The 13,484-nt window shown below is 43.9% G+C and overlaps 1 protein-coding gene across 18 annotated transcripts in view, besides 1 other annotated feature; it reads right to left on the reverse strand.

Annotated features, from left to right (window-relative positions):
• SYN3 (synapsin III) overlaps positions 1-13,484 on the reverse strand; it is a 550,562-nt gene that overhangs the window by 378,022 nt on the left and 159,056 nt on the right. The gene's annotated exons all lie outside the window — the stretch shown is intronic.
• Positions 1,279-1,489: a silencer, noted in NCBI's record as "fragment chr22:33283107-33283317 (GRCh37/hg19 assembly coordinates)". NCBI's record gives its function as "represses an EF-1alpha promoter that drives an FKBP-Casp9 reporter gene in an ReSE screen in K562 erythroleukemia cells {active_cell/tissue: K562}" and the evidence as "EXISTENCE:reporter gene assay evidence [ECO:0000049][PMID:32094911]".

Here is a 13,484-nt window from a genome sequence, read left to right on the forward strand (position 1 = left end):
TGAGCCACTGCACCAGGCCCATATTCCCTTTTCTAAACACCTTTCCCAGTGGGAACAGAATGACCACAGCTGGCTGAAACGAACCAGGATTCACCTCATGGCACCAGAAAGGGGCCTATGTTTCCTTGAAGCACATGGCCACCAAACAGCTGAATAAACTCAGGATTTGGCAAGCATGAAAGAAGGCGGGCAACCAACAGTAGACAGCACACCTTCCGAAACCTTTATTTTCATGGACAGCCATATGTTGTTCTTGTAAAGAACTGGCTCATAAGCTTGTGTGTTTTAAAGAACAATATTGCTAAGTGTGTTTACAATGACACACATGGGTAAATTTTAAAAATGCAATAGTAACTCTTAAAATCTGCTACAAGACTTTAATGAGGTCTGGCAACCCCTTGACCTGGAATCAGAACACATAAGCTTGAGAACTCAGTCACTTCTGCGAGGTCGTGAGAATGTTTCTCTAGCTCTCCAAGCCTTGCGTTTCTCCCTGTGAAAATGGCAGCTTCGAGGAGAATTAGGGGTCATGCATAAAGGAAAAGAGAAGGGGCTTTGCAGTTAGACCTGGCTTAGGATCCCGGCTCCCCCAGCTGTGCGACTCTGGACACGTTTTGAGCTTCAGTTTCCTCATCGGTAAAAAGGGGATAAAAATGTGCAATTCATAGAGCCATTTAAAAATATATACTTTATAAAGGCATGATTTGCATAAAATAAAATGCACCCATTTGAAACGTAGTTTGATTTGCTTCGACATATGTAACACTAATATAATCATCATGCCAAATAAAAGATATACTTTCATCACCTTCACAGGTGACTTGTGTCCCTCTACTGTCAATCCCCTGCCCCTTATTCCCTTGGCCCTGGGCAACCACTGATGTTTCAGTGACTATGGATTAGTTTTGCCTGTTCTAGAATTTCATGTCAGTGGAATCATGAAATGTGTACTCTTTTGTCTCTAGTCTTTTTTTCCTCAACATAATGGCTTTGAGATTTGTCTGCATAGTTACGTGCTGCCAAGTATGGACTGGAAGGCAGCCCGCAGGACCCTGCCTCTCATGTTCAAGCCCTTACATGCTTCTCCCCCGGAGGGGGTGGGATCTGTGACTGGTTTGCTGAATACGGCAAAGGAGATGGGTTGGCACCCCATGATAATGCTACGTCAGATAAGTCTCAGTCTTGCTCCCAGATGTATTCTTGTTCTCCCTTGCTTTGAAGTAACAAGCTGCCATGTTATAGAAAGACCCATGGAAAGGCCCACATGACTCATGCTTGTAATCCCAGTACTTTGGGAGGTCAAGGTGGGAGGATCGCTTGAGTTCAGGAGTTCAAGACCAGCCTGGGCAACATAGTGAGACCTCATCTCTACCAAAAATAAACAATATTATCCGGGCATGGTGATGCACATCTGTAGTCCCAGCTACTTGGGAGGCTGAGGTGGGAGGATCACTTGAGCCCAAGAGTTTGAGGCTGCTGCAAGCTATGATCACTCCACTGCACTTCAGCCTAGGCAACAGCGAGACCGTGTCTCAGAAAAGAAAAAAAAAAAAGAACTGTGTGCAACTTCCCGCTGATAACCAGCAAGAAGCCAAGGCCCTTAATCTCACAGTCACAAGAAAAATGACTTGTGCCAACAACCCAAGCGAGCTTGGAAGTGGTTCCATTGCCAGTTGAGCTTCCAGATAAGAACTGAGCCCCAGATGACAATCTTGATGTCAGTCTTACAGAAGACTCAGCTAAGCCATGCCCAGCCCCTGGCCCCCACAAACTGTGAGATAATAAATATGTGTTGTTTGAAGCTGATAAGTTTGTAGACAACTAATATACATCTCTTAGTAGTTTGTTCCCTTTTATCCCCAAGAAGCATTCCCTTATGTGCATGTACCACATTTTGTTTATTGTTCACGAGTTGACAGGCATTTGGGTTGTCTCCAGATTGGGGCTATGATGAATAAAGTTGCTATGAAGATTCTTATAAAAGTCATTTAGATAACATATTTCATTTTTCTTGGGGAAAGGTCTAGAGGAGAATGGTTGGCTCATACGGTGCCTATATATTTAACTTTATAAGGAACTGCCAAACTATTTTCCAAAGAGGCTGCACCACGTCACATCCCCACCAGCAATGTAGGAAAGTTAGTTATTCCACAGCCTCAACGACAGTTTGTACTGTCAGTCTTTTTAATTCAATACCTCATTATAGTTTTTATTTTTATTTCCCTGATGATTAATGATGTTTAATATCATTTCACATGCTTGTTGGCTATTTTTGGATATCTGCTTCTGTCGAGTGGCTATTTGAGTCTCAAGATATTACCATCCCTAGGGATGTTTTAGGAAAGCATATGTATGTAACATGACTGGCATTTAGTAGACACTAAATAAGATATAACTATTATTCTAGATGTTATTATTTTTAAGGTCACTTAGAGATAAAGTTATATGATTCCATAAAGGGCCCACACAGTATGCTTTAAGAATCTGTTCTAACTCATGTTCTCTTGGGGAAAAGTCTAGCAGGGGAATGATTGGATCATATAGTGCCTATATATGTAACTTTATAAGAAACTGCCAAACTATTTTCCAAAGGGGCTGTACCACGTTACATCCCCAACAGCAATGTAGGAGGGTTACAGTTACTCTACAGCCTCGCTGACAGATTCGACTGTCAGTCTTTTTAATTTGACATCTCATTATAATTTGTATTTTCATTTTCCTGATGATCAGTGATGTTTAACAGAGGAGAAGGAGAAGGAAGAAAAAGGTTAAATAACAGAGGAGGTGAAGCAGGAATGCAAGACGCCCCCAGGATTTGAGATGGAAGACTTCATGGGCAGGAGGTACAGGTCATGCATCTCAAATCTGAAAACCTGAAATCTGAAATGCTCCAAAATTCAAAACTTTTGGAGCACTGACATGACACTCAATGGAAATGGTCACTGGAGCATTCTGGATTTTTTTCATTAGGGTTGCTCAACTGCTAAGGATAATGCAAATATTCCAAAATCTGAAATCAAAAACCCTTCTGGTCTCAAGCATTTCAGATGAGGGATACTTGATCTCTATTGCCCAGTTTAAGGGATGATGAGTTCTGCCTTAGCCACATTGAGGTTGAAGGGAAAGCTGGCCCTCTAATCGGTCTCATCACTGGGCCTCAAAGTAGGGTGAGTGCTGAGGAGCCCAACTTTGCCAGACATGGCATCCCAAAGGGTGCCAAACACCTCTATTTAAAGCAGCAGAGATCTCAAGCATTTTGTTACAATCTGAAGTCTATTAGTGCCTGTGTCAGCCCTGCAGTCACTGGGGTGGAGGCCGCAGGACAGAGCTAAACATGTGCAAAAGGAGTGTAGGGATCTTGGAATAACTCTCTATCAGGAAGGCTAAAATTAGCTCATCTCCCTCCTCACCACTCCTCTTGCCCCAACTATAATTACTCACCTTTGCCCCCAGCTCCATTCCTGGGTTCTAAACACTCTTGCTTCAGGGGGGCTTTGGAAGGGTTTGCTTTCTAAAGCTTCCGGAATGGGGTAAGGGTAGAATGAGCTTCTCAGGGCCCAAGTTTTCCTCCACAAGGAAAAAAAAAAAACAAAAAACCTTTTATAGGAATTTTTCTGTTAATAAATGTGACATGTGCTTATTTAAAGAAAATAAAATCAAATAGCACAGCAAGGTATAAAGAAGAGGATAAACGCAGTAGTCCCAGGATGTAAAGATAATGTTTACACGTCAATGTGTTCCCTCTCATATTTTCAGTATGTAAACAAATCAACGCATATATTTGTAAATAAAATAGAATTATACATATATGCCATTCTGTAATCTTTTTAAAACTGACTGTATCCAGGGATCTTTGCATGCCAAAATATAAACTTTTAGATCTTTTTATTGAGTATCTAGTATTTCACAGTTGTTGGGCATTTAGATTTTAAAAAATATATTACAAAGACTTCTGGGGAAAATGCCTTTATATCTTTTTGGATTTTCCTAACTTTTTATCAAAAGTCATTAGTAGGGAATTTACTTACTGAATCAAAGGCTTTGAATGTATAAAGGTATGTTGTTCTCTCAGAATATTTGTATTAATTTCCATGTTTATCAATACTTTACTAGATGGCCAGTTTCACCTACTCTGAGCAACATTAAATTGATCTTTAATTTTTTTTTATCCTAAAAAAAAATTTCGTGGTTTCCTCCATTTGTTCTTGGGTAATTATTGAGATTTAGCTGCTTTTTTTTTTTTTTTTTTTTTTTGAGACAGGGTTATTACTCTGTTGCCAAAGCTGGAGTACAGTGGAAAAAATATAGCTCACTACAGACTCAACCTTCCAGGCTCAAGCAATCCTCTCACCTCGGCCTCCCAAGCAGCTGGGACTACAGGTGTGTGCTACCTTTCCTGGCTAATTTGTGTATCTTTTATAGAGCATTTTCCCATGCTGCCCAGGCTGGTCTCAAACTCCTGGGCTCAAGCAGTCCTCCCACCATAGCCTCCCCAAATGCTGGGGTTACAGGTTTGAGCCACTGTGCCTGGCCTGATTTAGCACCTTTTTTTTATTTGAGACAGAGTCTCGCTCTGTCACCAAGGCTGGAGTGCAGTGGCATGATCTTGGCTCATTGCAAGCTCCGCCTCCCGGGTTCACACCATTCTCCTGCCTCAGCCTCCCAAGTAGCTGGGACTACAGGCGCATGCCACCACGCCTGGCTAAGTTTTTGTATTTTTAGTAGAGACAGGGTTTCACCGTGTTAGCCAGGATGGTCTTGATCTCCTGACCTCGTGATCTGCCCGCCTCGGCCTCCCAAAGTGCTGGGATTACAGGTGTGAGCCACCGCGCCCGGCCGATTTAGCACATTTTTAACCTGTTTTTTCACACGCCACTTCTTCTTTTGGGCAAGTTGCCTGTTTATATCTACTGCTTATTTTTAGATTAGAATATCCATCTTCATTGATTTATAATAACTATATATATAGAGAGAGAGAGAGCTTCCCTTGTGTCTCCTGGGATGGATGCTCATTTGGCTGGCACTGCACCTCCCTACTAGCGTGTCCTCTTGGACTGCAAAGGATGCAATGGTAAAAACTTCATTTCCTAGACCCCCTTGCAGCTGGGAGCCTAACAATACCAGATTCAGCCAACTGGAAGCACTTGCTGGACTCTGGGAGGCAGAACTGAGACCACAATCACCTCCCACCTCTTTGGCTGTTCCCTGCATGCAGACAAGTTCCTGAAGACCTAACTGCATGGGATTGTGATTTCTGTCCAGGGCCCTGCTCCAGTTTCTTAGGTACCAACGAGGAGCTGAGGTGGCAGCAGCTTCCAGACTTTGCTTTCTGAATCCCAGCTATGGCAGAGGGCTCTTGAATTGACACGTTGGCCATCTGGGGGGGTCAATTTTGCAGGGCTCAGAAGCTTCCTGGAGGCCACTTCTCCAGTCCTTTTGATGACATTCTCGAAACCTAAAGCCACGTCTTAAGCACCTTTCTGCATAAAATCCCTACAACACTTTCTGTTGCTTGTGCTGAGCCCTGATGGATTTTTCTGATACTTCCCATGGCTTCTGAATCCTGTCACTTCTTTGTACTTTCCCAGGTCTTCCCACATCCCACTCCAGCCACTGAGTGATTCCCTCTTCTCTGTAAGGAGGTCTGAAGAGCGCTCAGCATTCTCTGAGGATTTATAGAATTCTTCACATCCAGATTTCTTTGCAAATGATAATAGTGGAAACCAATGAGCTTGCCATCCGACTTCGGTTCATATCCTGGACCAGCCATTCCTGCTTAAGCAAGGTGCTTAAACTGTGCCTCAGTTTGCTTATCTGTAAAAATTACACCATAGCGATGGCAATGCCTAATATACGGACCTGTTTTCAGGGCCACGCACACCAAGGCAGGCAGCAGGTGCTCAATACATACTTCCGTATAACTCATTCAGCCCCCTTTTCCTGTCTTAATGTGACTCTAAGAAAGCTACTAAGCCCTCTGAGCCTCAGCTTCCTTCCTTAATACTAGGAACCTTAATACCTTCCTCACAGAACTGCTGTGAGGACCAGAGGAAATCAGACAATTGGAAGTAAATTCCAGGTCTATATAAAAGGTATTATTTGGAGACCAGGTATTGTTTCAAGATTCCTTTTTAGCTAATAATAATAATAATAATAATAATAATAAAAAGCTGGCTGGGCGCATAGCTCATACCTGTAATCCTAGCACTTTGGGAGACCGAGGCGGGCGGATCATGAGGTCAGGAGTTCAAAACCAGCCTGGCCAGAATGGTGAAACCCCATCTCTAATAAAATAATACAAAAAATTAGCCAGGCATGGTGGCACACGCCTGTAATCCCAGCTACTCAGGTGGCTGAGGCAGGAGAAGTGCTTGAACCCGGGAGGCTGAGGTTGCAGTGAGCTGAGATCACGCCACTGCACTCCAGCCTGAGCAACAGAGTGAGACTCCATCTCAAAAAATAAAAATAAAAAATAAAAAAGCCACCCTGTGCACAGTCATTGTCTTATTCAACAAATACACGCTCTGCACCTATTCTAGGCAGTGTGCTGGGAGCTGAGGATACAGAGGTTAATGGGATAGACGTGATCCTTGGTTTTGTAGGATAGTGTGGGAACAGACAAAACCCAAAACCTATGTAAACACATACATGCTATTACAAATTGTGATGAGTGCTGTGAAGGAAACGAGACTCTAAGTAGTAAAAACCAGACACTGGTACCAGCATGGGAGAGAGAGATGTATTTCTGATCCTTGAAAGTATAGTATTGGAGAGATCTATTTTAAAGAGGTGATCTAGGAATTCAATTCTGCTAGGTGGACATATAAACTGGATACCACAGCCACCCACAGCCCCAGAATCACCTCCCACCCATCTCCCATCTCCAGTCTTCTGCTGTAGGTCTTAGCAAGGGAGAGGATGAAGAGTTCTTTGTCCCTGGGTTATCAGGGAGGCTGCATGAATGCCAGTTTGCTGAAGCCTGGAGATTATCTGGGGGAAGCTACCTATTTCTGGGGTAGGCTAGGTGAATGAGTGAATTGTAAAAACTTAGAGAAGTGAATTTAAGGGAAAAAGAGAGGAGAAGCTTAGAGAATATGAGAATCAGGACCATAAAGAGAAGCTTGGGAGAAGAAGAAACCAGGAAATGCCCAAGAATTCTGATAGTCTGGAATCTATTTCTGGACCCTATAAAATTAAAAAGATGGGCCCTGCTTCCTCTGGAGGCAACATGGTAGAATAGAAAGAATCTGAATCAGGGTCAGCTTGCCTGGGTTCTAGTCTCGCTCTCACTTTTATGACCAGGGGCCCAACACTCTGACCCTTCTTCATCTGCACTTCCTCCATTTGCGTATGAGAATAATCAATGTTTGCTCTGCCCCCCTCCCAGGACTTATCCATTCACTCCATTCCTCAACTATACATTGGGATTAATTGGATACCTGGCACTGCCGTAGGCACTGGGCTGTGGAGATGCATGAGACACATTCTTTGCTGTCACGGAGCTCATGGAGCCCTGGAAGAGACTCACATAGACAGAGACATTGCCAACATGGTAAGGAAAATGGTGAGGACACCACAGGAACAGAGAAAGGAGCCTTTGTCAGTTGACACAGTAACAGGGGCCCAGGATATTGTCTCCTGCAGGAGTCAACCCTTCAGTAGAGTCTTAAAAATCAGTAGAGTTTGGCAGTAAGTGGAGATTAGGAATTAAGGAACTCCAATAAGAGAACACTTGCATAAGCACTTTGTAGCTGAGTGACTGTCCACGTGTGGGGAAGGAGCATTTTCACTCCAGAGTCTGGTAAGACCTGAGCAAACCCAACTGGTCCACACCTCCACATGCTGTATATGCTATTCCTTTGGAATAGAATGCCCTCCTCTATTTTGTCTGCTTGGAAAATACCCACTCATCCTTCCAGTTGGCTTCAATATCCCCTTCTTCGCAAAGAAAGCCTTCTTTGAACATGGCAGTGAGCTGGCCTGTCCCTTGCTGGGCTTCACTGTATCACATACATTCCTCTCTCATGGCCCTCAGTCCTTCAACAGTGCACATTTGTTTCACAACTTGGTTTTCCACCAAGCTGTGAGCTCATCAAGAGCACAGATGATGGTACCTTCTTTCTTGCAATGTTATCACAGCCTATACTATGACAATCAGACAGTGGACACTCAATAAGCATTGGTCCAACTGGATCGAGTCTTGTTCTAGGGTAGACAAGATCCTGGGACCCTGTTACTGGCCTACTTGTGTGTCATTTATCCTCTGAAAGTCTTCACCTTGTAATACTTATGTCTTCTACGCAATAAACTGAGAGCAAGGGCCTGGTGAATCACTGCTAAGAAACAGAAATTGGAGAACTGTGGAGTAAAGGCTTCAGTCACCAAATTGTAGCCTAGAGAATAAAATGTCCTTCTCTTTTACATATTATAGAAGAAGAAAACAGTCAAGGGTCCTAATTCTGTTCCTACTACTGATTCTGTGACTTTGCACAGGCTGCTCTGATAAATGCTGTGGGTTGGCTAACCCAACAACTACAACCTTCCTCTCTTTTGTCTCTTTCTATTGCAGAGGGTGGAAATCCAGATATTCAATCTTGCCAGGCTCCCTTGTAGCTAGTGCTAGTGACACGTGACCCAATTCTGGTCAATGAGGCCAACACAGAAATCTGCTAAGGACTTCTGGCAAAGTGTCTTAAAGGAGGAGGCCTGAGAGGAGAAGAGCCACCAGGCACGACCCCGTCATCCTGACCTGACATTGACATGATGCCTCCACCTGTGGCAGTCAAGTTGGGACAGCAAGATGGTTCATCTTATGTGTCAACTTGACTGGGCTACAGGTGTTTAAACATCTGATTAAACGTTATTCTGGGTATGACTGTAAGGGTGTTTCTGGATGAGATTTGCATTTGGATCTATAGACTGAGTAACACAGGTTGCCTGAGCCATTGTGGGTGGGCTTCATCAGATCTGCTGGAGGCCTGCATAGAATAAAAAGCTGAGTAAGGGAGAATTCGCTCTCCCTGCCTGCCTGTTGAAGTAGGAGTTGTGAGTAGGAGGATAATGCCAATATTTCAGGTTTCTAGAAATGTAAATGATCCATAGTATAAACCTCCACCAACATGTAAGAAGAGGCAGATGAAAAATATTGAAGCATCGTTAGCATGAAAATAGCGGACCATTCAGCCGTAGTTTACATCTCAGCTGATATGAGTGACTGAAGAGAAGGCAGTTGAAGTGTCTGATGTGTAGTGCATGGCTAAGAATAATCCTGTAATGATCTGAAGGATTAGGCAGGCACCAAGGAGTGAGCCGAAGTTTCATCATATGGAAATGTTAGATAGTGTGGGAAATCAGTGAATGAGTAATTAATAATTTTTATTAGCAGGTGTGTTGAAAACTAGGACATCAGTCTCCTCCTGACTCTGGACTTAGACTGGGACTCACACCATTGGCTCTCCTGGGTCACCAGCTTGCCAACAGCAGATCCTGGAATTCTCAGATTCCATAATCCAGTGAGCCAATTCCTTATAGTAAATCTGTAGCTATACTTGCATGTACATCTATCTATCTATTTATCTATCATCTACTATTGGTTCTGTTTCTCTGAAGAACTCAGACTAATACAGACAGTATAGTATTGAGCATGATAACAAAATGCCAATAATCTAAGAATGACAGGAAAGAATGGCAAAGAGTGACCTGATCCTTGACAGCAAACCTCTCATTGCACCAAATCTGGAAACACCTAGACTCTTGCTATGTGAGAAAAAGAAATGTCTTTATTGCCTATGCCTCTACATGTCAGGTTTTCTGTTACTTGCAGCTAAAAGCATTCCTGACGCATGCAATTATCTCCCATCTCTAAGCCTTATTTCTCGGGTTACACAATGGCCTTAAATGAAACCGACAAACATTTCCAAGTGTCTCTTAGATGCACGGCTCTGAGTGAGGGGTTCAAAGGGAGCCAGCAGAGTAGAGCTTAAGAGTAGGAACTCTGGGGCTAGGCTGCTCGGCTTAGAAGCCCAGGTTCACCAACCCAGCCTGTTATTTAACCTCTCTGTGTATAAGAAGGGTCATACTAGTACTATTAATATTAATAGGGTTGTTGGGAAGATTGAATTAGTTAATCCACGTAAGGCCCTTAGAATAGTGCTCAGCACATAGAAAAATGCTCAATAAATGCTAATTATAGCTAAGAACTAGACATAGGTCAAGCCTTCTGGGAGTTTAGAGTCTAGCTTTCAAGTCAAGAAATATACACACACATATAAATATGATATTGAAACTATAAAGATATACATGTATAATTGAAAACAGAATCATTTAACTTCTTAAATTCTAAAGTAAACTTAGCCTGTAATCCCAGCACTTTGGGATGCTGGGTGGGAGGATCACATGAGGTCAGCAGTTCGAGAGCAGCCTGGCCAACATGGTGAAACCCCGACTCTACTGAAAAAATACAAAAATTAGCTGGGCATGGTGGCATGCGCTGTAGTCCCAGCTACTCGGGAGGCTGAGGCAGGAGAATCACTTGAACCCAGGTGGCAGAGGCTGCAGTGAGTTGAGGTTGCGCCACTGCACTCCAGCCTGGGCAACAGAGTAAGACTCTGTCTCAAAATATAAAAATAAATAAGGTAAACTTAGCAGCTCATTATCATAAGACATAAAGGCTAAAAACTTAACTGCCTCCAGAGAAGACTTAGATAAATAGGCAGATGATAAAACTATAATAATATGTTAGTCAAAGAAAGTAGGCATTTTGAGGCTAGCCTCAGAATTTGAAATTAATTAGAACCAAATAAAATAGGAAAAGATAACATTTCATAGTGTTTTATAGCTTTTAAAGCATTTTCATGAAATCTAACAACTTTGTGAAGAAAGGGTAAACGTGAAATTTTTTCCATATGTGATCTCATTTTGGCTGTCACCTTGTTCGAAGATGTGTGTAATTCTCCTTTTACAGTTGAAAGGCCATGGGCTTATGGTGAGGCTTACCTGAGATGATACAAGTGAACACAGTCTCTAACTTTTCTTAAACAACTCCAAAAAATGCAAGACATTCACCAAGTGGTGGCTTAGAAGTCACGTATTCCCCAGTGATGTTTGGTAACCTATGCCCCTGTCCCCACCCTGGTCTCCAGAAAAGGACTTTAACCTACGTCTCTCTCTCTGAGGCCTTGAGCTGCAGGAACTCTTACATAGAGGACTCTTTCTGGCTCCCTTTGAGTCTCTAAAGTTACCGTCCCCTGGGGCCAAGTAGGTTGTGAAGGACCTGCTCCTGACTCCACCCCAGCCACCTGCCCTACCGCTGAGCACCTGAGGCCTCTCTAGAATGTGAGTACCTGGACCCGGCGCCCATGGGTGTAAGATAAGAGTGCCGGCAGACCTGTTGTTTTCTTCTAGGAAGTCTCAGATTCTGGAAGCATGACTCTCTCTCTAATCTCCTGAGAGCTAAGGCCCACACTTAGGGAGCCCCACACATCCAAGGAGGTGCTTTAAGAGCTGGGCTGCTCTCTTGGATGCTGCGTGCAGCTCATCCCTGCCTGGGAACTGGGTCCTTGCCTTCCTGAAGCAGATTCTCAGTCATGACAATCACTGTTACACACAGAGGGGGTTCCCAGGATGCCCAATGGGCAGGCACTGTAAATCTGCTTCCCCGCCGGCCTCCCATCCTGCAGAGAAGGCAGCCGTGGAGTCAGACCTGGATTCAGAGGGTTAAGAACACAGGGTCTATAGCTAGATGATCTAGGTTCAGATCCTGACTCAGCCACTTCTTAGCTTTATCACCTCAGGCAAGTTACTTTCATGGTCTGTGACTCAGATTCCTTGTGGAAAATGAAGATCATAATAGCGCTTACCTCACAGAGTTGTTAAGAGGATTTAAGTGAGTTAAAGAAAAAAATGCCTGGCATGTAGTGAGCGCATGATGAATTTTAGCTATTTTATTTGTTTTGTGATTTTTGAGCAAGTCTTTTTATATATATTTTTTTATTTTAGGGACAGGGTCTTGCTGTGTTACCCAGGCTGGAGTGCAGTGGTGCGATCACAGCTTGCTGCAGCCTTGAACTCCTGGGCTCAAGTGATCCTCCCACCTCAGCCTCCCAAGTAGCTAGGACTACAGGCATGGGCCACCACACTCAGCTATTGTTTTTTGTTTGTTTGTTTGTTTTTGAGACAGAGTTTCGCTCTTGTTGCCCAGGCTGGAGTGCAATGGTGCAATCTTGGCTCACTGCAACCTCCACCTCCCGGCTTCAAGCGATTCTCCTGCCTCAGCTTCCAGAGTAGCTGAGATTACAGGTGTGCGTCACCACATCCGGCTAATTTTTGTATTTTTAGTAGAGACGGAGTTTCACCATGTTGGTCAGGCGGGTCTCGAACTCCTGACCTCATGATCTGCCAGCCTTGGCCTCCCAAAGTGCTGGGATTACAGGCTGAGCCACTGCGCCCGGCCCCAGCTATTGTTTTTATTTTTTGTAGAGACGGGGTTTCACTATGTTGCCCAGGCTTAAGCAAGTCTTTAACGTATCTGAACCCCAGTTTCCTTGTCTATGTAAGGGGGATGATTACATGTGCCCAGAGTTCACTCTCCTTTCTCCCGTTGGTAATCACATCACACTTGTAGCTACTCATCTGTTGTCCACCTATCTGCATACATCTGCAGCAAGGCACTGTGCCCATTTACTTCCAGCTCCCAAGGCTTAGTAGAGGGCTTGACACATAGGTGCTCCTAAATATTCATCAAATGAAGAAATGGCACTGTTGTCAGGATTGAATGAAACAAAGATAGCCAGTCTGATAGAAAAAACAGTGGAATCCCTATATACATATATGCATGTGTGTGCATGTCTTGGGGAGGGAGGAATTTGGACCATTGAGAAATGGGCTGGTGTCCTAACTTAGTCCTTATGACCTGTGTGACTGTAGGCAAGTAGCTGACCTCTCTGAGTTTCCATGTCCTCAGCTATAAAATGAGATGGTGGGCTGGGCGCGGTGGCTCACGCCTGTAATCCCAACACTTTGGGAGGCCGAGGCGGGTGGATCACGAGGTCAGGAGACCGAGACCATCCTAGCCAACATGGTGAAACCCCATCTCTACTAAAAATACAAAAAATTAGCTGGATGTGGTGGCGTGTGCCTGTAATCCCAGCTACTCAGGAGGCTGAGGCAGGAGAATCGCTTGAACCAGGAAGTCGGAGGTTGCTGTGAGCTGAGATTGTGCCACTGCACTCCAGCTTGGCGACAGAGTGAGACTCTGTCTCAAAAACAAAACAAAACAAAACAACGAAAAAAATGAGATGGTAGATTGACCTGATTAGGAAGATTAACCAAGGTAAGTTATGGTCGGCATCAAGTACTGTGCCTGAATCCTAGCGGGTGGTTCACAAACGGCAGCTCCCTTCCCCACTTTTCTGATGCCTATGGACTGAGCCAGTGCACAATGAAAATGGCAATAATGAACACATATTGAGCACTTACTATACACA

This window comes from Homo sapiens, chromosome 22 (assembly GCF_000001405.40).
Source record: "Homo sapiens chromosome 22, GRCh38.p14 Primary Assembly".
NCBI lineage: Eukaryota > Metazoa > Chordata > Mammalia > Primates > Hominidae > Homo > Homo sapiens.